This window comes from Homo sapiens, chromosome 7, assembly GCF_000001405.40.
Source record: "Homo sapiens chromosome 7, GRCh38.p14 Primary Assembly".
In the NCBI taxonomy this organism is placed as follows: Eukaryota; Metazoa; Chordata; class Mammalia; order Primates; family Hominidae; genus Homo; species Homo sapiens.
Genome location: NC_000007.14, coordinates 111480214 through 111508107, shown reverse-complemented (window position 1 = coordinate 111508107; position 27894 = coordinate 111480214). Strand labels below are relative to the sequence as shown.

Here is a 27894-nt window from a genome sequence, read left to right as displayed (position 1 = left end):
CAGCTGAATGGATGGCCCATTCATTTAGTATGAGATATGTGTAGATTTTTATGGTAATGATTCCATAGTGAATCAGGCCTCCCTCATTGATTTGTGTAGTTTCCTCCCACAATGACTCTGACCATGTGACTTGTTTTGGTCAGTAGGATATAAGCAAATACTGCTCAAGTAGGAGCTTGGTCAGTACTTGTGAGCTGGGTACATGTAAAAACTCAGGCTATCCTGATGACGGAGATTTTGGAGAATAAATGAAGCATCCTGGCCTTCCAGCCCCAGTTGAGTGCCTGACATGTCAATGAAGCCATCTTGAACTTTCCAGCTGAGGGAAGCCAAAATTGCAGGATCACAAGCAGATACATTTTGGTTGTTCTTTTTAGACATATAGTTTTGGAGTGGTTTGTTATGAAGCAAGAGATAACTGAAACAAAAATTGGTACTATTAGTGAAGTGATACTATAACAAAAACCTAAAATATGTAGCATTGATTTGGGGACTGGGTGGCAGTTTGGGGCTGGTAATGTGGTGAGGGGAGTGTTGGCAGACGCTGGACAAATGGCAAACAACTGTTAATAGAAAACAGAAAGATAGTAAAGTATCTGTTACTGCGGACTGGAATTACGATGATCTGTGTTTTATGGTACTTAAACATTTTTTAAAAATGTGAACTGTAAGAACTTGAAAAATAGAAGATATACCTAATGATCTTATAGATTTGGCTAAGGAGATTTCCAGGCGAAAATATTGAAATTGTCAGCTGGCTTCGTATAGCTTTATATAAGATATGGGAAGAGAGAAATGAACTTATAGCAGAAATTAGAGGAAATATAGGGTGCCCAGAACTTTTTTGGGTTGGAAAATAAAACTATTTTTCATTCCCAGTATCTAGCAGGCAAAAGATCCTCAAAATAAGAAATAGCCTCGGGTAGAGATCAAATCAGGACTGGAAGACTCTTTATTAAGACCTCAGGGCTGGGTGTAGTGGCTCACGCCTATAATCCCAGCACTTGGGGAGGCCAAGGCTTGAAGATAACTTGAGCCCAGGAGTTTGAGACCAACCTGGGCAACTGGCGAAACTCTGTCTCTACTAAAAATAGAAAACTTAGCTAGGCTTGGTGGCATGCGCCTGTAGTCCCAGCTACTTGGGAGGCTGAGGTGGGAGGATCACCAGAGCTCAGAAGGCAGAGGTTGCAATAAACCAAGACTGTGCCACTGCATTTCAGCCTGGGTGACACCGTGAGACTCTGTCTCAAACAAAAACAAAAGCAAAAACAAAAAAAACCTCAGAAAGATATAAGGTGGTACTTAGTATATCTTTTTAATTAGACAAAATATATTGTAAACTCTTCAGGGCTTTGTGCCACAGCAGCCTGACACTTTCAAAGTAAAGAAAGATCTGGTTTGAAAAAAATTAAGGGTCGGGCGTGGTGGCTCACGCCTGTAATCCCAGCACTTTGGGAGGCCAAGGCAGGTGGATCACGAGGTTAGGAGATTGAGACCATCCTGGCCAACATGGTAAAACCTGTCTCTACTAAAAATACAAAAACTAGCCTGGTGTGGTGGCATGTGCCTGTAGTCCCAGCTACTCTGGAGGCTGAGGCAGGAGAATCGCTTGAACCTGGGAGGCGGAGGTTGCAGTGAGCTGAGATTGCACCACTGCACTGCAGCCTGGGGGACAGGGCAAGAAAAAGAAAAAAGAAGGAAGATATGGATGTAGTTTTGGGGGGAATGGAATGAGCCCCAACTAGATTAATGGGAAGTCTACAACATTTTAAGGGTGTTGAATTAACTTGTACTAAAATGGGGTCAATTTAGAAAGAGACCTCTGGGGTGTGTCCACCTTATTATGAAGGAGCATTTCTTTTTAAAAATTTATTATTTATTTTTATATTATTATTATTATTATTATTATTTTAAAGAGACAGGGTCTTGCTCTGTTGCCCAGGCTGGAGTGCATTGGTGCAATCAGCCTCGAAGTCCTGGACAGCTAATTTTTAAAATTTTTGTGTGTGGAGGCAGTCTCACTATGTTGCCCAGGTGTTCTCAAACTTTTGGCCTGGAGCCATCCTCCCGCCTCCCAAGAAGCTGGGGTTACAGGTGTGAGCCTGGCCTCCTTTCTTTCTTTTTTAATTTTATTATTATTATACTTTAAGTTTTAGGGTACATGTGCACAATGTGCAGGTTTGTTACATATGTATACATGTGCCATGTTGGTGTGCTGCACCCATTAACTCGTCATTTAGCATTACATATATCTCCTAATGCTATCCCTCCCCGCTCCCCCCACCCCACAACAGTCCCCACTGTGTGATGTTCCCCTTCCTGTGTCCATGTGTTCTCATTGTTCAATTCCCACCTATGAGTGAGAACATGTGGTGTTTGGTTTTTTGTTCTTGCAATAGTTTGCTGAGAATGATGGTTTCCAGTTTCATCCATGTCCCTACAAAGGACATGAACTCATCATTTTTTATGGCTGCATAGTATTCCATGGTGTATATGTGCCACATTTTCTTAACCTAGTCTATCATTGTTGGACATTTGGGTTGGTTCCAAGTCTTTGCTATTGTGAATAGTGCCACAATATATATGTGTGTGTGCCTTTACAGCAGCATGATTTACAATCCTTTGGGTATATACCCAGCAATGGGATGGCTGGGTCAAATGGTATTTCTAGTTCTAGATCCCTGAGGAATCACCACACTGACTTCCACAATGGTTGAACTAGTTTACAGTCCCACCAACAGTGTAAAAGTGTTCCTATTTCTCCACATCCTCTCCAGCACCTGTTGTTTCCTGACTTTTTAATGATTGCCATTCTAACTGGTGTGAGATGGTATCTCATTGTGGTTTTGATTTGCATTTCTCTGATGGCCAGTGATGATGAGCATTTTTTCATGTGTTTTTTGGCTGCATAAATGTCTTCTTTTGAGAAGTGTCTGTTCATATCCTTTGCCCACTTTTTGATGGGGTTGTTTGTTTTTTTTCTTGTAAATTTGTTTGAGTTCTTTGTAGATTCTGGATATTAGCCCTTTGTCAGATGAGTAGGTTGCGAAAATTTTTTCCCATTTTGTAGGTTGCCTGTTGACTCTGATGGTAGTTTCTTTTGCTGTGCAGAAGCTCTTTAGTTTAATTAGATCCCATTTGTCAGTTTTGGCTTTTGTTGCCATTGCTTTTGGTGTTTTAGACATGAAGTCCTTGCCCATGCCTATGTCCTGAATGGTATTGCCTAGGTTTTCTTCTAGGGTTTTTATGGTTTTAGGTCTAACATGTAAGTCTTTAATCCATCTTGAATTAATTTTTGTATAAGGTGTAAGGAAGGGATCCAGTTTCAGCTTTCTACACATGGCTAGCCAGTTTTCCCAGCACCATTTATTAAATAGGAAATCCTTTCCCCATTGCTTGTTTTTGTCAGGTTTGTCAAAGATCAGATGGTTGTAGATATGCGGCATTATTTCTGAGGGCTCTGTTCTGTTCCATTAATCTATATCTCTGTTTTGGTACCAGTACCATGCTGTTTTGGTTACTGTAGCCTTGTAGTATAGTTTGAAGTCAGGTAGCATGATGCCTCCAGCTTTGTTCTTTTGGCTTAGGATTGACTTGGTGATGCAGGCTCTTTTTTGGTTCCATATGAACTTTAAAGTAGTTTTTTCCAATTCTGTGAAGAAAGTCATTGGTAGCTTGATGGGGATGGCATTGAATCTATAAATTACCTTGGGCAGTATGGCCATTTTCACGATATTGATTCTTCCTACCCATGAGCATGGAATGCCCTTCCATTTGTTTATATCCTCTTTTATTTCATTGAGCAGTGGTTTGTAGTTCTCCTTGAAGAGGTCTTTCACATCCCTTGTAAGTTGGATTCCTAGGTATTTTATTCTCTTTGAAGCAATTGTGAATGGTAGTTCACTCATGATTTGGCTCTCTGTTTGTCTGTTATTGGTGTATAAGAATGCTTGTGATTTTTGTGCATTGATTTTGTATCCTGAGACTTTGCTGAAGTTGCTTATCAGCTTAAGGAGATTTTGGGCTGAGACAATAGGGTTTTCTAGATATACAATCATGTCATCTGCAAACAGGGACAATTTGACTTCCTCTTTTCCTAATTGAATACCCTTTATTTCCTTCTCCTGCCTGATTGCACTGGCCAGAATTTCCAACACTATGTTGAATAGGAGTGGTGAGAGAGGGCATCCCTGTCTTGTGCCAGTTTTCAAAGGGAATGCTTCCAGTTTTTGTCCATTCAGTATGATATTGGCTGTGGGTTTGTCATAGATAGCTCTTATTATTTTGAGATACGTCCCATCAATATCTAATTTATTGAGAGTTTTTAGCATGAAGGGTTGTTGAATTTTGTCAAAGGCCTTTTCTGCATCTATTGAGATAATCATGTGGTTTTTGTCTTTGGTTCTGTTTATATGCTGGATTACATTTATTGATTTGTGTATGTTGAACTAGCCTTTCATCCCAGGGATGAAGCCCACTTGATCATGGTGGAAAAGCTTTTTGATGTGCTGCTGGATTTGGTTTGCCAGTATTTTATTGAGGATTTTTGCATCAATGTTCATCAAGGATATTGGTCTAAAATTCTCTTTTTTTGTTGTGTCTCTGCCAGGCTTTGGTATCAGGATGATGCTGGCCTCCTAAAATGAGTTAGGGAGGATTCCCTCTTTTTCTATTGATTGGAATAGTTTCAGAAGGAATGGTACCAGCTCCTCCTTGTACCTCTGGTAGAATTCGGCTGTGAATCCATCTGGTCCTGGACTTTTTTTGGTTGGTAAGCTATTGATTATTGCCACAATTTCAGAGCCTCTTATTGTTCTATTCAGAGATTCAGCTTCTTCCTGGTTTAGTCTTGGGAGGGTGTATGTGTTGAGGAATTTATCCATTTCTTCTAGATTTTCTAGTTATTTGCGTAGAGGTGTTTGTAGTATTCTCTGATGGTAGTTTGTATTTCTGTGGGATCGGTTGTGATATCCCCTTTATCATTTTTTATTGTGTCTATTTGATTCTTCTCTCTTTTTTTCTTTATTAGTCTTGCTAGCAGTCTATCGATTTTGTTGATCTTTTCAAAAAACCAGCTCCTGGATTCATTAATTTTTTGAAGGGTTTTTTGTGTCTCTATTTCCTTCAGTTCTGCTCTGATTTTAGTTATTTCTTGCCTTCTGCTAGCTTTTGAATGTGTTTGCTCTTGCTTTTCTAGTTCTTTTAATTGTGATGTTAGGGTGTCAATTTTGGATCTTTCCTGCTTTCTCTTGTGGGCATTTAGTGCTATAAATTTCCCTCTGCACACTGCTTTGAATGTGTCCCAGAGATTCTGGTATGTTGTGTCTTTGTTCTCGTTGGTTTCAAAGAACATCTTTATTTCTGCCTTCATTTCGTTATGTACCCAGTAGTCATTCAGGAGCAGGTTGTTCAGTTTCCATGTAGTTGAGTGGTTTTGAGTGAGTTTCTTAATCCTGAGTTCTAGTTTGATTGCACTGTGGTCTGAGAGATAGTTTGTTATAATTTCTGTTTTTTACATTTGCTGAGGAGTGCTTTACTTCCAACTATGTGGTCAATTTTGGAATAGGTGTGGTGTGGTGCTGAAAAAAAATGTATATTCTGTTGATTTGGGGTGGAGAGTTCTGTAGATGTCTATTAGGTATGCTTGGGGCAGAGGTGAGTTCAATTCCTGGATATCCTTGTTAACTTTCTGTCTCGTTGATCTGTCTAATGTTGACAGCGGGGTGTTAAAGTCTCCCATTATTATTGTGTGGGAGTCTAAGTCTCTTTGTAGGTCACTAAGGACTTGCTTTATGAACCTGGGTGCTCCTGTATTGGGTGCATATATATTTAGGATAGTTAGCTCTTCTTGTTGAATTGATCCCTTTACCATTATGTAATGGCCTTCTTTGTCTCTTTTGATCTTTGTTGGTTTAAAGTCTGTTTTGTCAGAGACTAGGATTGCAATCCCTGCCTTTTTTTGTTTTCCATTTGCTTGGTAGATCTTCCTCCATCCCTTTATTTTGAGCCTATGTGTGTCTCTGCACGTGAGATGGGTTTCCTGAATACAGCACACTGATGTATGACTCTTTATCCAATTTGCCAGTCTGTGTCTTTTAATTGGAGCATTTAGCCCATTTACATTTAAAGTTAATATTGTTATGTGTGAATTTGGTCCTGTCATTATGATGTTAGCTGGTTATTTTGCTCATTAGTTGATGCAGTTTCTTCCTAGCCTTGATGGTCTTTACATTTTGGCATGTTTTGCAGTGGCTGGTACCGGTTGTTCCTTTCTATGTTTAGTGCTTCCTTCAGGAGCTCTTTTAGGGCAGGCCTGGTGGTGACAGAATCTCTCAGCATGTGCATCTCTGTAAAGTATTTTATTTCTCCTTCACTTATGAAGCTTAGTTTGGCTGGATATGAAATTCTGGGTTGAAAATTCTTTTCTTTAAGAATGTTGAATATTGGCCCCCACTCTCTTCTGGCTTGTAGAGTTTCTGCTGAGAGATCCGCTGTTTGTCTGATGGGCTTCCCTTTGTGGGTAACCCGACCTTTCTCTCTGGCTGCCCTTAACATTTTTTCCTTCATTTCAACTTTGGTGAATGTGACAGTTATGTGTCTTGGAGTTGCTCTTCTCGAGGAGTATCTTTGTGGCGTTCTCTGTATTTCCTGAATTTGAATGTTGGCCTGCCTTGCTAGACTGGGGAAGTTCTCCTGGATAATATCCTGCAGAGTGTTTTCCAAGTTGGTTCCATTCTCCCCGTCACTTTCAGGTACACCAATCAGACGTAGATTTGGTCTTTTCACATAGTCCCATATTTCTTGGAGGCTTTGTTTGTTTCTTTTTATTCTTTTTTCTCTAAACTTCCCTTCTCGCTTCATTTCATTCATTTCGTCTTCCATCACTGATACCCTTTCTTCCAGTTGATCGCATCGGCTCCTGAGGCTTCTGCATTCTTCACGTAGTTCTCGAGCCTTGGCTTTCAGCTCCATCAGCTCCTTTAAGGACTTCTCTGCATTGGTTATTCTAGGTATCCATTCGTCTAATTTTTTTTCAAAGTTTTTAACTTCTTTGCCATTGGTTTGAATTTCCTCCTGTAGCTCGGAGTAGTTTGATCGTCTGAAGCCTTCTTCTCTCAACTCGTCAAAGTCATTCTCCGTCCAGCTTTGTTCCGTTGCTGGTGAGGAGCTGCGTTCCTTTGGAGGAGGAGAGGCACTCTGCTTTTTAGAGTTTCCAGTTTTTCTGCTCTGTTTTTCCCCCATCTTTGTGGTTTTATCTACTTTTGGTCTTTGATGATGGTGACGTACAGATGGGTTTTTGGTGTGGATGTCCTTTCTGTTTGTTAGTTTTCCTTCTAACAGACAGGACCCTCAGCTGCAGGTCTGTTGGAGTTTGCTAGATGTCCACTCCAGACCCTGTATGCCTGGGTATCAGCAGCGGTGGCTGCAGAACAGCGGTGGCTGTAGAAAAGTGGATGTTGGTGATCCGCAAATGCTCCTGCCTGATTGTTCCTCTGGAAGTTTTGTCTCAGAGGAGTACCCGGCCATGTGAGGTGTCAGTCTGCCCGTACTGGCGGATGCCTCCCATTTAGGCTGCTTGGGAGTCAGGGACCCACTTGAGGAGGCAGTCTGCCCTTTCTCAGATCTCCAGCTGTGTGCTGGGAGAACCACTACTCTCTTCAAAGCTGTCAGACAGGGACATTTAAGTCTGCAGAGGTTACTGCTGTCTTTTTGTTTGTCTGTGCCCTGCCCCCAGAGGTGGAGCCTACAGAGGCAGGCAGGCCTCCTTGAGCTGTGGTAGTCTCCGCGTAGTTCGAGCTTCAGGGCTGCTTTGTTTACCTAATCGAGCCTCGGCAATGGCAGGCGCCCCTTCCCCAGCCTCGCTGCCGCCTTGCATTTTGATCTCAGACTGCTGTGCTAGCAATCAGCGAGACTCCATGGGCATAGGACCCTCTGAGCCAGGTGCGGGATATAATCTCCTGGTATGCCGTTTTTTTAAGCCTGTTGGAAAAGCGCAGTATTAGGGTGGGAGTGACCCGATTTTCCAGGTGCCATCTGTCACCTCTTTCTTTGACTAGGAAAGGGAACTCCCTGACCCCTTGTGCTTCCCGAGTGAGGCAATGCCTCACCCTGCTTTGGCTTGTGCCTGGTGCTCTGCACCCACTGTCCTGCACCTGCTGTCTGGCACTCCCTAGTGAGATGAACCCGGTACCTCAGATGGAAATGCAGAAATCACCCGTCTTCTGCGTCGCTCATTCTGGGAGCTGTAGACCAGAGCTGTTCCTATTTGGCCATCTTGGCTCCACCGGGCCTCCTTTTTAAAAAAGAGCCCAAAGCCCAGAGGGCAGAGCTAAGAGCCATGCAGACCAATAAATTAGGGAACCATTCCAGAGAACAGAAAAGAATCTTAATTAAAGGACATTTCTCTCCATGAGATGGGAGGCCTTGACAACACATGCTGCTGGATTTTAAGCTTTCTATGGACAAGTGACTTCTATGCTTTTTTCATTGCTTTTTAAAATCCATGGTTATCTTCTTTCTGTCTTTCCATTATATGTTTGGTGTTTGGGGAACAGATAATTTATCTTTTCACTTCATAAGTCTCTGATTTGAGATGAGCTGCACCCTAGAGTCCTCTTCCATACTGGGACCTGGGACCTGATGCATATCATGAATTAACGGATATGAATCCTATTGCAAACATCTGAGGAGACCTTGGGGCTCTTAGGAAGGGTTATATGTATTTTGCATATGTGAGGGATATGATTCATTGGAGCTAGAGGGCAGAGTTTTGGTAGATTATTACATTGATATTCCCTGTCTACCCCATCCCCCATGAGTCATGCTCCTCGGTACTGAGCTCTATGTCATCCTCACCTATGCTGATTCTTGACTTGGCCTTATGACTCATTTTGGCTGGTGGAATATCAGCAAATACGCAAACAGAGGCTTGGTAGATGCTTACACGAGGGAGTTTTTGCTCCTGGAACACTGCTGCCTCCATGGCTGCAGCTGCCTGAGTGATCACAGCCAGACAAGCTGGCTAATTGCATAGCTAAGCATAGCCTAAATTGTGGAATCATGAACCAATAAATGATTTTTGTTTTAAGTTTTGGAGTGGTTTGTTTTGTAGCAGTAGATAAATGATATAAGGTATATATCCTTTTTTCCCCCTTTTTATCTGCCAGAATGCTTTTCAGTTCCTTTTGATAAGCTGTTTCCTATGCATTTGAGCTCCTTTGTTCTTATAGCTTTGATCAATGTAATTTAGGGTACCCAGGTACCAAAATTCCTGTTGATACACATTTGTAGTGTTAGGATGCTGACTGGTTCTTTTTTATTTTTTTCCTTATAATGCAGCATCAGGTTCAACAATGAAGAACTAAAGGATCTAAAATCCATGGTATTATCTTCACAGATTTGTTCACAGATATTATATAAGCCATGTGAATAGATTGCTACACCATTGTATATGTTGGGGAATTTGGCCTCTTTGGAGTTACATGCTTCTGAGGGAATCATGCAGCCTCCTAAAATCTTTGTTATTTGTTGAATCACTTCCTTTCTGTGCTACACACCTTACTATGACCTTTTTTTTTTTAATTAGGTTAGGAGACAGAAAAGTGGTTCTGAGCAAGAAAAACTTAGCAATGAATAGGAAAGCCTTATTCAGTTTTATGAGGAAGTTAAAGATTCCGCATGTATCTTGCTGGGGTTTTTCCGTGTAGCTGGCTTATTTTATATATAGCAGTCTGTCTTCAGGTTAATATGCAGATATGTTTATATAAATTTTATATTTCATTGACTATATGTGATCTATTTCTGATATGGTTAATTAGAACTATAAATTAGAATAGCTATCTCAAAACATGTTTTATTAGCTAGGAAACACAATGCACGTATTTAATGGTAGTATTTTATAATTAGTGCATTGAAACAGAAACTTTGCAGATTTGAACCTTGCAATCTAGTTGTAGCGACCTGAATTAAAGAGATGCTTAAATACTGAAGAGCTTGTTTAAAGAACACAAACTTTAAAAATATTAGTAATAAGAGGATATAAAAATCAGATGCTTTCCCCTTCAAAAACAATTCATTGCTTAGTGCTTACATTAATATAAAAGCACTGCATATTGATTGGCAAAAAACTTAGAAAACATAGAAAAATGTGGAAAATAAATAATTGATACCACCTTTCAGAATTATTTATTTTAAATATATTATTATATAATACTAATAGTGAAAAATTATTGAATGATCACTATGTTCAAGTCATTACAGTATTGACTTTATATATATTAGTTTATTTAATATCACCCACAACTGTATGATGAAGATACTATGTTAGCCCACTTAACAGATGAAGAAATACAATCAGAGAGATGGGATAACTTACTGAAGATTGCATAGATTTAAACCCAGCTTCTGACTTTGAAGTTTGCATTTCTAAACCATTATAAGTTACTCTCTTTCTTTTCTGCACAATTTCCTTCTTTACTTTATTCTTTTAAGGTTTTTCCCTTTTTTCTTCCGTCCTGTCTTTCCTGAAATTGGATCATAGCAGTTTGTTTTTTCTATGTCGCATTTTTCACTTATTCTCCAGACATATCCAAATATATATTTTTCCACAATGTAATTTTTACAATCATTTTTTAATATCCATAAAGTTTAACCATTGCTAAACCAAGGTTTAATCAGTTTCCTATTATTGGTATTGAGCTTGGCTCAGTTATTCACTTGATTTTAGCTAAAAGACTAAGAAGCTATTCACTATTGTAAATAATGTATTATGAATATCTTTGTATATGTTCCTTTGCACATATGTCCAATTAGTTTCTTAGGAAATCTTTTTAAATGTGACATTTTCAAGTCTAAGGACAAGATCACTTTTAAGACTTTAAATATATTTTGGCAAATTACCTTGTTGATAGTTTATAAAGATTTTCATTCCTACAGGTAGTATGTGAGCGTGCCTGTGACACTTTGATGGGGCGTTCTATAGTAGAACATGCAGTTAAGATTAGGAGAATGAAAAATTAACAACCTAGTGTAATTCTGAATTAAATCAATATGTTATATGTTCACTTTTATTTTATTAATGTAGTTTTACAGGCTTGCTTTTAAAAGAAAAATTAAGAAATTATATTATAATTAGATCTCACCGGAGAGACAGAACGAATAGGATATTTATCTGTCTGTCTGTCTATCTATCTATCTATCTATCTATCTATGTATCTATCTATGAGAGGGAATTTATTAGGGGAATTGGGTCATGTGATCATGGAGGCTAAGAAGTTTCATTATAGGCTATGTGCAAGCTGGAGGTCCAGGTAGCTTGGCTCAGTCCAAGTCTGAAGGCCTCAGAACCACAGAAGCTGATGGTATAACTCTCAGTCCAAGGCCAAGGGCCTGAGACCTGGGGGCTGCTGGTTCAAGTCCCAGAGTCTAAAAGTCAGAGGACCTGGAGTTCTAAGATTTGCAATGGAAAGAGAAGAAGGTTGTCCCAGCGTCAGGAGAGAGAGAGCGAGAGAGAATATGAAAATATTTACCTTTCCTCTTCCTTGTTCTTGTATCCAAGCCCTCAACTAATTGCATGGTGCCTGCCCATGTTGGGTGAGGGTGGATCTTTCTTACTCAATCCAGTGCTTCAAAGGCCAATCTCTCCTGGGAACACTCCCTCACAGATATACCCAGAATAATGCTTTCTTAGCATTCTGGGTAGCCTTAATCTAGTCAAGTTGACACCTAAAATTAACCATCAGAAGGGGTATGGGTAATAAGTACCCATGATATAAAAGGAATGTTCCATTTCTAACTTACAGCTTTGTACAGACCTGGGTACATTATAGTCTATTTTATTATGCACACCTAGTGAGACAAATCTGAGAATTCTAGAAGCCATGCAAATTATGGAGACCCCTGAATAGCAAGGGAAGAAAGACGGCATTGTAGACCATATTGTCCGCATTCTTTCAAAGGTGTGACATCTAATAATTCTTAATCAGAATGTACATTTACTTTAACTGTACTTACTTCATGCTTCTTGGCCAGTGCTGCAGTGTTAAAAAGTCTAAATCAACAGTACTATTTCAGTTTCTTCTGTTATTGCCCCCGCCTCCACAGATATGTCTTCAAAGTAATGGTTCTTCAAAAGAAGTCTGAGGGCTACTGTTGGGTCCTTGTGGCTGCAGCTGGGCTCCATCTCACTTAAAAGCACAAAGTTTGATATTTACCTGTTGTAGATTGTATGTAGCCAGTGTGAGTGGTGCTTTTTATAAGCCTGAAAAGGTTGAAAGCATTGTACCCAAAGAAGTAAGGTCAAAACCAGGCTTTCTTTATATCTTGGAGGCAGTGAATCATAGGCTGTAGATTCTTTAAAATTAAAAAATGAATAAAAAATTTATAGTAAAAAGCCAGAATAATATCATTTATTGATTGATGGCTTCAGTTAAGTCTTACAAAACAGGAAGTGTACTGTGACTGTGCTTAATTCTCTAGGAGAATTTTATTTTCGTAAACCGAAAGATAAATTCTTCCAAACCTGTCATATGATTTGAGGTTAGACACAAGCTGAGGATTTAGGATACCTTGACAATAATATTTGTTTGTAGGACAAATAAAAATCCTTCAGCATAGTCTTTGATCAGAGAAAAGATTAAAGCCTAACTTTTGTGTTATGCTTGTTCCAAAAGCAGATTTGATAGATATTGGCTATTTCTAGCTTTAGCATAACTTACTAACATCTGTTGAAATATGCTGACTTATATTGTATTTCTTAGAGTGAACTATATAGTACTTAGGTCAGAGCAAAGCATACAAACTAAATATATGTTCATTATAAAAAACAATTTGTGAGATACAACTGAGCCAGAGGAAAACAAGGTGTGGGGAGGGGTAAGCAGTAGGGAGGGAGAAAATGGAAATCATTTCATCAACCAGAGCTAAGAACTGTTAGATTTTTAAATGCATATGTTTTTATATATATCTGTATGTGTGTATATGTTTTAAAAATAAGAATGTAAAACATAACGGGTGTAAAATTCTTTAGGTATTTTATAGGTATTCATAACTAATTATGCATATTAAATTTTTTTGGATTAATTTATAGAGGCAGAACAATTAAGGCCCCACATAAAAGCATCCTAACTTTACTTGCTTTAAAAAAGTGAGGAAACAATCAACAAAGAATTTAGAAATGAGGGGTAGAATTTTCTGCCTGAATACTTTCAGTTTACTATGTAAAATGAGAAATGTGCAGGGCAATATTTAAATGTTTAATTTTTCTTAAATCTTGTGGAAAGGATACTGTACCTGATATTGTTTCCCTTTATTTTGTTATTGTTGCCATCATCATTAGTGTCCTATTTGTTGACTGCTACTCTGTTTCATGACTGTAATGTTTTGTAGACTGTCTCATTTAATTCTTGTAGCAACTCCATGAGATCAGTGTTCCTGCAGTCAGTCCCCATTTTATAGATGAGGAAATGAGACAGGTTAAATAATCTGTTTAAAGTAATATGGTTAATAAGAAATGGAGACAAGATTTGAACATAGTTTTCTGTGTTTAGGGCAAGGACTATTCAAAACACTTCTCCAAGTTTGATTTTTAACTTTAGTGGTCCATGGTAGAAGCAGAGAAATAGATGAGTGTGAGAATGCAAGTTGTTGAGAGAGACAGACAGAGAATATTTACCTTTCCTCTTCCTTGTTGTTGTTTCCAAGCTCTCAACTAATTGTATGGTGTCTGCCCACCTTGGGTGAGGGTGGGTCTTTCTTACTCAGTCCAGAGCAGATGTTTGGCTTTTTTTGTTCTTTGTTAGTGTTTTTCCTTTTGCTACTGGAAATCACTGTGACTACTAGCAGGAATATCTGATACAATCAAATACTTGGAGATACAGGTGGAAACTCCTAGATTAAATATTCTCTGAGATTTCTTCAAACACTTTATTATTTTAAGTTAGTTATATTTTGATGTAGTCTCTTGGAATCTAGGATTTAAATATTAACAATATAACAAGAAAATACAGATTCTGTGGCCATATCAAATTATTATTTATGACTTTTAATTTCTACTTGATGTGTTTAACTTCATCGATTTGAAAAAATTGCTTGCTCTATATTTTTTTTAGAGACGGAGTCTTGCTCTGTCGCCCCAGGCTGGAGTGCAGTGGCGTGGTCTCGGCTCACTGCAAGCCCCGCCTCCTGGGTTCACGCCATTCTCCTGCCTCAGCCTCCCGAGTAGCTGGGACTACAGCGGCCCACCACTACACCCGGCTAATTTTTTGGCAGAGACGGGGTTTCACCGTGTTGAGCCAGGATGATCTCGATCTCCTGACCTCATGATCTGCCTGCCTCGGCCTCCCAAAGTGCTGGGATTACAGGCGTGAACCACCGTGACCGGCCACTGTTTTTTTCTTTTTTTTTGAGACGGAGTCTTGCTCTGTCGCCCAGGCTGGAGTGCAGTGGCGCGATCTCCGCTCACTGCAAGCTCCGCCTCCCGGGTTCACGCCGTTCTCCTGTCTCAGCCTCCCGAGTAGCTGGGACTACAGGCGCCCGCCCCCACGCCCGGCTAATTTTTTTTTGCATTTTTGGTAGAGACGGGGTTTCACCGTGTTAGCCAGGATGGTCTCGATCTCCTGACCTCGTGATCCACCCACCTTGGCCTCCCAAAGTGCTGGGATTACAGGCGTGAGCCACTGCGCCCGGCCTGTTTTTTTTCTTTTTAATAAAGCTTTTGTTTTTAGTGAAGTACAGAAAACTGTGGTTCTTATAGTGCCATAGGAACAACTTCCCAATTCAAGAAGGTTTTTCTTTATGATGTTTTGTTGATATTCATAAGTGTTAGATTAATAAATAAACAAGATAGTTTATTGTGTTGTGATTACCATTATTTCATTATGAATAACAAAGCCCTATTCAACTATTTCTAACTCTTAAATTGCCTAACTTGATGAGACACAAAAAATTTATTGCTATACTTATCTAGAATATGTTTTCATTGAAAGAGATGTATACATTATTTAGATAATGTATATTCTAGAAACTATCTGATTTAAATACGCTTTTAAAAACCTTTAATCTTTTAGACTTTATAGAAATATTATTTTCCAATCACTGTTCTGGGATTAGGTGTACAAAAATGGCTAAGACACGGTTTCAGCAGTTGAGAAACTTACACCTGAGTGGAAGAGTCTTATCTGTAGGCAGATACCTATTAAGTACCTGCATTGCTATGGGAGCGCACATGAGGGAGTAGCTAATTTAAACTTGTGGAGGAAAGAAAAGGTAAAAGAAAACTCTGTTGCTTCCTTTATAAAATCAAGCAATGTCATTCAGGTGTTGACTGTTGATTCTAATACTTACTTCACTATTGGAAGTTAGACATGCTTCCTTCTGTTTTCTTCCCTTGCATAAATCTTTTGTTTATAATGCTTTACCTTTTGGTTCTAACAATTACAATTAGAAAAGTTGGGCATTTGAGTGATTCTATAAGGGAAAGACGAAGTTAAAATTTGGGTCAGTGGGGATTTTTCTATCCCCATTGTTGGAACACCAAGATATAATTTTCCAATTTCCTTAAGGGAACTGCAGCATGTTTTTTATTCTTTTTAAAGGCTTTACAGAGGAGTCCCCATCAGATAAGGACTTTGACAAATGACTAGAAGTTTCCAAGTGGGGAAAAAACATTCTTGACAGAGGGGAAGTCTGATAATGAGGCATCCAAAGAGCGGGTTAGAAACTGGACCTGACTTATGAGTCTTCTAGTATGGGGGATAGGGTAAGTGGTACTACTGTTAAATAAGGAGGGGAAGTATATTTGGGGGCTGGAGTGGGCTGGAATAGGATCTTTGTTTTGACCTTGTTAATTTTGAAAATCTTTGGAAATTCCACTAATTGATTTTTTTAAATTCTTTCCACTAAAATGTGTTAATTACCTGCAAAGTGCTCGATCTCAAAAATATAGGCATAGGAAATAATTTATTCTCAAAACTTAGAAAAAAAAAGAGCTTATAGACTCTTGGAAAGAGAGACAAGGGAGTGATTATAATGCATATTTAAATATTATTATAGAAATAATCATAGGCTGTGATGGTGAACTTGGGATTTTTGATCTTATGAGTTGTGGTCACAAACTTCAAAAAAAACACCAGTAAAAGAGACCAAGGAGAACAGTCAGAAATAATTAAATCACCTTTTGTTCCTTCACTATTATGGCAAGAAAAAAGAAAAAAAAAACGAATGCAGTGAAAGTTCAATAGGAATATTTTCTCTTTATGGTCCAGAGCCCAGATGGTCTCCCTCCAGGTCACCTTTACAGTGTCAGTTATATAGGAAAAAGAATACAAATAAATTAGGGAAGAGGACCTGTGGATACTGAGGTCAAAGACAGAGAGGAAGAGGGAGATAGAGAATTTGAATGAGAAATATGAATGAGATAGAGAGCATACCCTTGTGAAAGCTCACCTTTTAATAATCTGACCTACTGTTGTGATGACAAAAGCTCCATTCCTCAGCACCATGGCTCAGTAAAGCCCTTTGGACTTATGCTACCATATCAACTCTGTTCCTCACTAGAGATAGAGACATAGGAGGAACCTGGGGGTAGAGAGTACAGACCTGCTTAAAATTAAAATTGTGATGTAGAAATATCAATAATAGAAGTTACTGAGAGGTAAGTATGGGCCAAGAACTACCATAAGCACTTTAAATGAATGATCTTACCAAATAAGGTAGCGCAGTTCACTCTTGAACAACGAGGGGGTGAGGGACCCAACTCCCATGCAGTTAAAAATTTGCATATAACTTTTGACTGTCCCACACCCCACAACTTAACTACTAATAGTCTGCTCCTGACCAGAAGCCTTACTGTTAACATAAACAGTGAGATTAACACATATTTTTATATGCTATATGTATTATATACTATATTTTTACAATAAAGTAAGATAGGGAAAAGAAAATGTTATTAAGAACATCATAAGAAAGAGAAAAATATATTTTTGTTTCTTAAGTGGAAGAGGATCATCGTAAAGGACTTCATCCTCACTGTCTTCATATTGAGTAGGCTAAGGAGGAGGAGGAGAAAGAAGAGGAGTTAGTCTTACTGTCTCAGGGGTGGCAGATGTAGAAGAGGTGGGAAAGGGAAGCAGGAGAGGCAGGCACACTCAGTGTAACTTTTATTGAAAAAAATCTGTGTATTGTTGGACCCACGCAGTTCAAACCTGTGTTATTCAAGGGTCAACTATATTTGTAAAGCTGTTAAACAGTGTCTTGCACATGGTAAGCACTTAACATGTCTGGCTATTATTATTAGACCAGGACACATGGTAAGTACTTCGTAGGTATTGGCTATTATTATTTAATTATTAATTAGATAATAGTTATTATTCATCACCATTTTCCTAGTAATGAGTGGCATAATGAAGTTAAGTAACTTGCTGAAGATCATATAACTAGAAAGAAATGGAATCATTTCTAAGTTGGAGGTGAGAGACTGATTAGTGTAGATATAGCATGAGTTACATAATGATTGGTGCTTGAAATATGATGATACTAGAGAGGAAAGAAAACGTGCCAGAAGTAGAAGACATTATGATTAAAAAAAGATCCCTTTAGCTTGCTGACTGGTTGGATGAGAAGTAAGAAGACAACTAAGTTTTTAAACTGGTTGACTGGGAAAAGGGTAACCCGGATGTAAGAAAATAAGAAAGGGCTGGGCATGGTGGCTCCTACCTGTAATCTCAGCGCTTTGGTTGATAAGGCAGGAGGATTGCTTGAGGTCAGGAGTTCAAGACCATCCTGCTCAACATAGCAAGACCCTCCCATCTCTAAAAAAAAAAAAAGGAAAAAAAAAACCCGACTTAGCTGGATGTGGTGGTATGCACTTGTAGACCTGTAGTCCTAGCTACCTGGGAACTGGAACTGGGAGACTGAGCCCAGGAGTTCAAGGCTACAGTGAACTATGATCATGCCGGTGCACTCCAGCCTAAGTGACAGAGCGAGACCCTCTTAAAAAAAAAAAAAAAAAAAAGAGGGCAGGCGTGGTGGCTCACGTGTGTAATGACAGCACTTTGGGAGGCTGAGGCGGGCGGATCACGAGATCAGGAGTTCGAGACCAGCCTGGCCAATATGGTGAAACCCCGTCTCTACTAAAAATACAAAAATTAGCTGGGCATAGTGGCGCACACCTGTAGTCGCAGCTCTACTCAGGAGGCTGAGGCAGAAAAGCAGAAGAGACTGTCTCAAAAAAAAATTTATTTGTTGAAATGATAACAAATTCCATTTTAATCCTGTTGAATTTTTTGTCAGGTAGTTAAGTGAAATGAGTAGCAGGGAATTTAAGTTAGGGATTTAGGTATTATCACTAAAGGAGTTGGTGAAAGTTCTGAAAGTGTTTGAGGTGTTCAAGGATAACCAGTATTTTTCAGCTGCAAAACCCTGGATCAAAAATAGTGTCAAGATAATAGCCTCCATGCAGAATTTTGACATATTTGTCAACTCTTGCTTTGTAGAAAATCTGCAAATAATCCCAGGAATCTTTAACAAAAGGCACGTCATTACTGCTCCAGGGACTGGCTGTTGCCCTGCGTTCACTATTTTCCTTGCTTCTGCCCTGGTTGTTGTTGTGTCTCCACTGGCTGCTGTCATCAGCCCCTCAGTGAAGGCGGAGAGGAAGCTTGGCACCTTTCCTGTCACCACAGAAATGGCCACTTCCCATGGTAGCATTATTGGAGAGTCAGAACTCAAATCAGCAAGAAAGGACAACCGCAGCAAAAAGTGGGCTGAGGCCAGGCGCGGTGGCTCACGCCTGTAATCCCAGCACTTTGGGAGGCCGAGGCGGGCAGATCACAAGGTCAGGAGATTGAGACCATCCTGGCTAACATGGTGAAACCCCGTCTCTACTAAAAATAAAAAAAATTAGCTGGGCGTGATGGCAGGCGCCTCTAGTCCCAGCTACTCGGGAGGCTGAGGCAGGAGAATGGCATGAACCCGGGAGGCGGAGATTGCAGTGAGCGGAGATGATGCCACTGCACTCCAGCCTGGGCGACGGTGTGAGACTCCATCTCAAAAAAAAAAAAAAAAAAAAAAAAAGTGGATTGAGGACATGAATAGACAATTCTCAAGAGAAGATACACAAATGGCCAATAAGCATATGAAAAAATCTTCAACATCTTTAATTATCAGGGAAGTGCAAATCAAAACCACAATGCAATACTACCTCACTCCTGCAAGAGTGGCCATAATCAAAAAATCAAAGAATAATAGATGTTGATGTGTATGTGGTGAAAAGGAAACACTTTTACGCTGCTGGTGGCAATGTAAACTAGTACAACCACTATGAAAAACAGCATCGAGGTTCCTTAAATAACTAAAGTCGATCAACCGTTTGATCCAGCAGTCCCTAGCAATACTAGGTATCTACCCAGAGGAAAATAAACTCATTATATGAAAAAATAACTCATTATATGAAAAAGATGTGTACTTGCACGCACGTTTATAGCAGCACAATTTACAGTTGCAAAAATATGGAACCAGCCCAAATGCCCATCAGTCAACGAGTGGATAAAGAAAATGTGGTGTGTATATATATTACTCAGCCATAAAAAGGAACGAAATAATGTTATTCACAGCAATCTGAAAGGAATTGGAGACTATTAATCTAAGTGAAGTAAGTCATGAATGGAAAACCAGACATTGTATGTTCTCACTGATATGTGGGAGCTAAGCTATGAGGGCACAAAGGCATAAGAATGACACATTGGACTTTGGGGACTTGGGGGAAAATGTGGGTGGTGGTGAGGGATAAAAGCCTACACACTGGGTACAGTGTACGTTGCTCGGGTGATGGGTGCACCAGAATCTCAGAAATCACTGCTGAAGAACTTAACTCATGTAACCGAACACTGTCTTTTCTTACAAAACCTATTGAAATAAAAAATGAAAAAAAATTTAAAAAACAGTGAAAAGGCTATCTTAGCTTTTCTAATTATTTTGTCCCCCTGTTCTTGCCTCAAGCTTGTTATTCATTGGCTTTGTCTGTACCCCTGTCCAAATGACAGGTATGCTGGTTTCATAGTTCCCCAGTCAAATTTTTGTGCCTGTATGGTTCCTGACCTTTAGAAAAATTCTTACACAAAATGTTTCTCAGTTCTTGATCCATTAACCCTCAGGCACAGTTAGACTTCTCTGAATCCTAGGATGAAAGCCCCTTATTAGGCTCAAACTGGGACCAGGACCCTTAGGATATGTGCTCTTTTGAGAAAAGAGAGGTCAAAGTGGGAAATCCATACATTTTATAATGGTAATCCTATCACATCTTTCTTTTGCCCCCTTCAGTTTTTCATATGACTGTGAAGATTTGTGGACATGACTGTGATTTGGGATTATTTCTTCTTTTCCCCAGATGGAACAATGATGTGTACTACTGTGGAATTAGATCCTATCTGGATATTTTGTTAGGAGGTTTGACTCACTTCTTCCTCATGTTTTTATATTATTCTTAAGGCTTTTCATACCTCTTTATTGGAGTTTACTAAAGATTTTAATGTCTAGCACACGTTCCTTTCAAATAAGCATTGGTAATTTATTTTTTTCTGGTTCATCTGTGAAGAATCCCAGTGAGCCTTTTTGAAAACTCATCATTTGCAGTTACTTTAGAACAGCAATTTATAGAAAGGTACTGTATTAGAAATGTTTTATTTCAGTCCACTCGAGCTGTGAAGTGCAAGAACCATGAAGATTGAAAAATACAAATGATAGAAGTGTCTCTTTCTCCTTATTTTCTAGCCTTCTTTGAATCCTGGGGGGAGCCAGTCATCTGATGTGGTGCTTTTGAACCACTGGAAAGTGAGGAATTTTGAAGTACACCGTGGTGACATTGTATCATTGGTGTAAGTAACTCAGAAGCATACTATATTTGTATATAAAATTATTTATACTTATGCTGATTTAACTGGTAATCCACTGTTAATATCATATTGCCAATTATTAAATTGAATACATGTTAAATACAATGCATTTTTAAAAAATCAATTTTGCAGTGTAACAATGCTATAAAAAGAATTTTTTGCATTTAAAATATGTTAGTTGACTAACATATTTGGATTTGGTGAAATGTATTTAATGAAATGTTGATTAGAAATTATTAAAAATACATGCATTTGGTACTACTTTGGAATATTTTGAAATTTTGCATCTTGGTAAGCAACTTTTTTGTTACCCCAATGTTTTCTTGGTTTGTATAGATTAAAAAGTATTCCTAGAAGGTGATAATTATGACATGAAAATCATTGACATTTATGTACATCAGGAGTTTAACTGAAAAAGGAAGTTTGAAAGACTAGCACTGGATGCTTCTGTTTGGGTCCAAAAGGTGGCACTGTTTCACTGTTATAATATGATGACTGGTCAGGATCAAAAATTTCATTCCAGTCTTAATGTAGAAAAGGAATGTCAAAGTGTGTATAACTGACACAATGATATAATACATAGTCCTAGGACAGGCCTAAATGGTTTGGAGATTTTTGTTTGTTTGCTTTAAAAGTAAATTTACACTAGGAAGACTGTAGCCAAACTTGTCTAATTTCTTCTGGTTTCAAATACTTATAAAAATGTTGTAGTATGATTCCCTGTTATGCCAGTTAGGGGTAGCAATTAAGGTAGCAGTGTTACTGCCATTTGATTTGGAGACAGTAAAAACCTGCTACTGGGTAAATACTTTTCCCATTTGTATTTCTGATTCTTGAATTGGAAGGATTTTTTTCTTGTTGGATGGTAATTTATAATTGGTAAAAGCAAGACATCATCTGCTTATTTGTACTTACCTTTGGCTAGTGCTTTGTGGAAATAGATATTCTATAAATGTGTTTCTTTCAGACTATTCTACCAGTATTCATTTGAAAACATATTAACCAAATCTCGTTAGTGACTAATGAAATAAATTCAAGTGGAGTTTTGTATGGCAGACATCCAAGGAGGGGGATTAAATGCTTCTCAGGTTTTGAGTGCTTTTAAAAATATTAACCTGCTCTTTGAAGTGTACTTTTATTTTGTCATTCCGAGTACTATTTTTGCAACCTCCTAAACAACCTTTTCCATGCTGGGTTAGCCTGTCATATGCTTATTATTCTTTTGCCTTTGGTTTGACAAGGTTATATCCTCACTTAGTTGGTGATGGAAAGGATACCCACCCAAGTGAAAGAGGTCACACTATACGCAGACAATTGTGCAGTATTTTTTTTTTCCCGTGAGAAACATGCTGACTATCTCTAACCAAGTGGACTTAAATAGATAATTGAAAAATAAAACAGGGCTGCTTGATATTCAGGGTTGCATGGGTCCATAAAAGTATCCTACCATATCATGGAGTATATTAAAAAGAGCACACTACTATTTTATATAAATATTCATAGTGATTGATATTTATTATATACATTAACTTCAAAAATATTCTATTCAAATTGGGATTGATATATAAATTATAGCTATTCCAGTTGAACTGTGTTTTTTTTTTTTTTTTTTTTTTTTTTTTGAAACAGAGTCTCGCTCTGTTGCGCAGGCTGGAGTGCAGTGGCGGGATCTCGGCTCACTGCAAGCCCCGCCTCCTGGGTTCAGGCCATTCTCCTGCTTCAGCCTCCTGAGTAGTTGGGACTACAGGGGCCCACCACCACGCCCAGCTAATTTTTTGTATTTTTAGTAGAGACGGGTTTCACCGTGTTAGCCACGATGGTCTTGATCTCCTGACCTCATAATCTATCCACCTCGGCCTCCCAAAGTGCTGGGATTACAGGCGTGAGCCACTGCGCCCGGCCTGAACTGTGTTTTTAATGACTCAGTTATGTGCTATATCTTTGTCATGTACAAATAACACAAACTTTCATGTGCTTGTTCTTAGGAGGAGCCATTTACATAAAAGAGTGCTTAGTTACTAGTATTATATATTTAACAACAGATGATCGTGAAGCAATATTGTTGCTTTGAGAAAGAAACAAAAAATCTGATGCTAAATTCTTCTTTAGCATTATTTAAAGTATTTTTTTAGGTCAGGGCCAGGTGGCTCAGGCCTGTAATCCTGGCACTTTGGGAGGGCAAGGTGTGTGGATCCCTTAAGCCCAGGAGTTTGAGACCAGCCTGGGCAACACGGTGAAACCCTGTCTCTACAAAAAATACAAAAATTAGCCGGGTTTGGTGATGCGTGCCTGTAGTTCTTAGCTACCTGGGAGGCTGAGGTAGGAAGATCGATTGAGCCTGGGAGGTCGAGACTGCAGTAATCTGTGATTGTGCCACTGCACTCCAGCCTGGGTGACAGTGAGACCCTGCCTAATAAAAAGTATCTTTTTAGTCTTATGATGAAACATGCTTTCTAGACCATATCCATGTATTTTCATACAATTTAGAAACTGCTTCATTTTAGAAGATTGATGTTGGTTTGATTGCAGTTCATAATATACATTTAATTTATATCAAATATTGAATATTTGCTTTTCTTATACAATGCATCAGTTTGTTTTTAACATAGATGATAATTTTTGTTACTACATTGGAACATCCTATTTATTTAAGAAATGTGTGACACATACAGAAGTGTATATTAAAATGTTCGATTTAAAGCTGATGATAAAATACACTTCGTAATTTTGTTTAGAAATTGATATTAACAGTATACTTCATTGATAAATAAGTAATCTTTGAAAACAAACCAGTATAACCTTTTTATATTAAAAAAATCTTGAGACAATGTATTCAGAATGTGTGGTAATACACCATTTCTACTATAATATTATGTGTGCTTTTCTGGAAAATTTGCAGTTTCCAAATTCTTACTTAAATCAGTAGGGCTTATTCAACTTTATAACCAGAGCACTGATGAAAACAATAACAATGTCAATAAAAATACTAACACAGTTTAAAAGACATGAAGTTTCTAATAATTAAACTGCAGTAAAAGTAGTGTTTTACTTAAAACATAAAAGGTGAAGATAGCTTGGTGGTAGGTGGTATAAGGAAGGGTTGAGGCTGTCTGTGGATGCAAGGGCAGAAAGACATTATCATTACAAGTCATAAATAGAGAAAAGCTTGTAAGCTTTGTACAAAATGTACTGATACCAGAGTTGTATGCTCTCCTCATTGTTTTGTGTTACTTTGTTTTATTTATTTAGTTATTTATAAACAAAGATCAGGGTTAACTTTGCAGTAGCACTTCTCAGAGAAAGGCTGAATGTATAATACTGATTCCTTCCTGGTTTGCTGCCATTAGTATACGTAGCCTTCAGTTGCCTGTACTAATAAGGCAAAACATTAATCATCTGGGAAAAAAATTACATAGGAACCAATGTAACTTCTGCATTACACTGAAATCTTTTCTCCACTTACCAATTGTCTATGTTAATTCATGTTACAGAAACACATATATAGCAAAGCAGACTGTCCTTTCTATTGCAAGGGGTTTTGTTCAGAGTTGGTTGACCAGTGTTGTTTCCTAAAGCATGGGAGATCTGGCAGAGGGAGGTGGGTGCATATTATTTTTTTGCATATCTTTCTTATTTTTCACTGTCTCTTTCTTTCTGTAAAAAGTTGGTCACAGTGGAGTTATTGTTTAAGTATGTTATTCAGTAGCTACATTTATTTAATAACATTATTGGTTGCACAAAATATGATTTGCTGTCATCAAGTCCTCACTATAGTATATGTAGGTGGCATCATACTCTCTTAGTGATTTACAAACTCATAGTGGTGAGTAAGGTGAATTTTCTATACCTTGGAATTGACTTTTCGTTAACCTGTGTGATGGCCTTCCTGGCTTAACATAAGTTGCACTATTTCACAATAATATATCACTTAACAAGTCCATCGGGACAGAGGTTCTTTCATAATAAAGTCCTAAATAATCACATTTAAAAGTGTTTTAACTTAATTTTACTTTTATTTGTTTTGAAGAAAAGTTGCAAAAATAGTGTAGAGAGTTCCCACAAATCCCCTAATATTAACATTATATAGAACCATAGTTCAAGTATTGAAACCAGGAAATTGACATCAGTAGAATATTATTAGATCTAATCTTATTAGACGAATAGGTCTAGACCTTATTCAGATTTCACCTGTTTTCCCACTAATGTCCTTTTTTTGGGCCAAGATCCTACTCAAGATCCCATATTTTCATTTTTTATTTTTTATGTCTCTTTAGTCACCTTCAGTATATGCCAGTTCCTTGATCTTTGTCTTTTATGCCATTGACACTTTTGAAGGGTACTGTCCAGTTATTTTGCAGAATGCTGCTCAGCCTCTTTAATGTTTGATGCCAGACTCTCTTTCAATAGAGAAGCACTAACGTTAATGGCAGTTGCTGAGGCTGAGGAAGCTGCAGCAGTGAGAACCCCTGAATAAAGGAGAAACTCTGTCTGACTAGGCAGTAGGGCCAGCTGGGGAGGTGGATACCACAGGGGCAGAGAAGAAAGAGATGGTAGGATTTCTCTTTCAGGCATGGGTTTTTTTTTAGTTTCTTGGAACCACATACTTGGGTCATGACTACAAGGGTTCAGGGATTCTAGAAATAAGTCTACCGAGTCAAATTTATAGCTGCTAGGAAGCAAAGAAGGAGAGCTGTGTGAGTGGGAGAAATGGCCACAGTTTATAGAGAGCTAGAAAGGAAGGACGATGGGGGGCTTCCTTTCTCTTCCTTTCCTCTTAATCTGGATCACAGATTTCACTGTATTGAGCCAGTGTTCAGTTCTATAGTAGAAGGTTGGTGTGAGGGAATTCTCATTGAATGAGCATGCCTGTAAGTAAGCATTGTGCTAAGTGCTTTGAGTATGCTGTTTTTATTTAATTCTCACAATATCTGGAGATAGTAATTTTTAACATAATGAAACAGATTTACAGCAAGTGCATGGCAAGTAAAAAGCAAGGCCAGAATTTGAATCCACATTCATTTGACTCTAAGCCTGTACTGTCTAATATAGCAAGCACCTATAGTTACTGAACACTTGAAATGTGGTGATTGCTGCTTGTTAAAATCATAATAATTTGGATATATTCATGCAAATAAATATATTACTAAAATGCTACCTGTTTCTTTTTCCTCTTTTTCTTCCAGTTTTAGTTTATGAGATTGGGTCTTGCTATGCTGCCCATGCTGGGCATGAACTCCTGGGCCTAAGTGATCCTCCTGCCTCAGCCTCCTGAGTGGCTGGGACTACAGGCATAAGCAGTGCATCTGGCTGATTCTTCCTTTTTAAATATGCCTAGTAGAAAATGTAAAATTACACATGTGACATACATTTTATTTCTATTTGATAACACTACGTCTAAATCTTTTCCCATTGTACACTGCTGTATCCCTGGAGTATGTCTGAAGTGAACTAAGATAAAATCCCAAAGTCTGAGATGGAAAACACTAAGGTAGTTCCTATGAAGCAAAGGTAGACTTCTAAAGATAGGTAATAAACACCTGGTGTTGGTAAGAGTGTCGGAGTGATCAGGTCCAAAGGCAGAGAGAAAAAGACACATAATCTATGGAGAGAAAAAAAAAAAACATAATATTTTTAAAGTGTTTATTGACTGCTTATTTTTTTGTTAGCCACTGGGTTAGGAGTTCTAACTTCACTTTTATTTGATTCTTATTAAGAAAAACCAGTAAAGTAGGTATTGTTATCCCCGGTTTTATAGATGAGAACACTAAAGCATAGAGAGGCTAAATAACCTGCTTAAGGACATAGTAAATATTAATAAGTGGCAGAGCAAAGGCTTGAAGTGCCTCACATCAAAGCTGTGTCTTAACCATCATCCTATAATGTCTCCATATAATGTGGTACGATGCTATGGTTGAATAACATTGATTCTCACCAAAGAAGTCATTCTGGCCCTGGTATGTCTACATCTCTTATTTTACTCCCATTTCTGTAGTTGAATTTCTGATACAGTGGTTCCTGAAATACATAGCAGTCTCTTCATTAATAGCAATATTACTGTATTATGAACATACAGTGTGCATAATACAGCAGTTTCAACAGCTGGTTTTTGTCATGCTAAACTCATTACCACTTTCTGATAGATGGCCAGTGTGGTGGCTGCTTCTCTATCGATAAGTATGAACAAAGAGTCATAAAGATTTGAGCAAGGGAAATAGATGAAATAGAATAGAGCATTTGAAAAAAGAAAAACGAAAGATGCTTTGTGTCTTGAGTGCTTGTAAATCTTGAAAGGTTCCTTGACCAACCAAGGAAATTAATTGGAACCTGCTAAAAATGGAATTTCATGTTTTGGCCACAGTAATAATAATACTGAATAATGACCCATAATTGTATTAAAAGCCAGTTATCAATTGAGCTGGGAAAATATAATTGTGTATACTTATCTGTTCTATCTGTACTCATTCCCAATTTTTAAAATCTATGGCCAAACATTTTTCTGAGTTTGTAGTTAATGTAGTACATTTAGGAACCAAATGTAGAAAGACCATGACTTTTATGAAAGATTCTTTAGGGAGGATGAAGTACCTAGGTTTCCAGTTTTTTTTTTTTTTTTTTTTTTTTTGACAGTAAAATGCTGGGGAGGGAAATCCTGTGTTGCAGTTTATTTTTGGTACTTTCAATTATCCATAGTAATTTGCAGTCATTACTAAGTATATGTACAAGTGACATTTTTAAAATAAATAAAATGAGATAGTATAGGTATTATTATTCTTATTATTTGATATAGATTAAACTGATTTTTAAATGCTGTTCATAGCCATACAAAAAGTTGATATCCTTGGCCGGGAACAGTGGCTCACGCCTGTAATCTCAGCACTTTGGGAGGCTGAGGCAGGTGGATCACGAGGTCAGGAGATGGAGACCATCCTGGCTACGGTGAAACCCCATCTCTACTAAAAATACAAAAAATTAGCTGGGCGTGGTGGTGGGCGCCTGTAGTCCCAGC

General features: G+C 38.3%; 1 protein-coding gene across 28 annotated transcripts in view; it reads left to right on the top strand.

Moving 5' to 3' along the window:
- IMMP2L (inner mitochondrial membrane peptidase subunit 2) overlaps positions 1 to 27894 on the top strand; it is an 899849-nt gene that overhangs the window by 54385 nt on the left and 817570 nt on the right. For 25 of the 28 annotated variants that reach the window (XR_007060162.1, NM_001350963.2, NM_001244606.2 and 22 more), the window contains one exon: positions 20767 to 20870. Coding sequence is in view for 27 of the 28 variants with exons in the window: in NM_001350963.2 (NP_001337892.1) it covers positions 20767 to 20870 (104 nt within the window). In the remaining variant the exon portion in view is untranslated. Of the gene's footprint in view, positions 1 to 20766; positions 20871 to 24379; positions 26043 to 26071; positions 27318 to 27894 lie in introns of those variants that run through there. The other 3 variants (NM_001350964.3, XM_047420932.1, XM_024446958.2) reach the window with 2 other exon arrangements.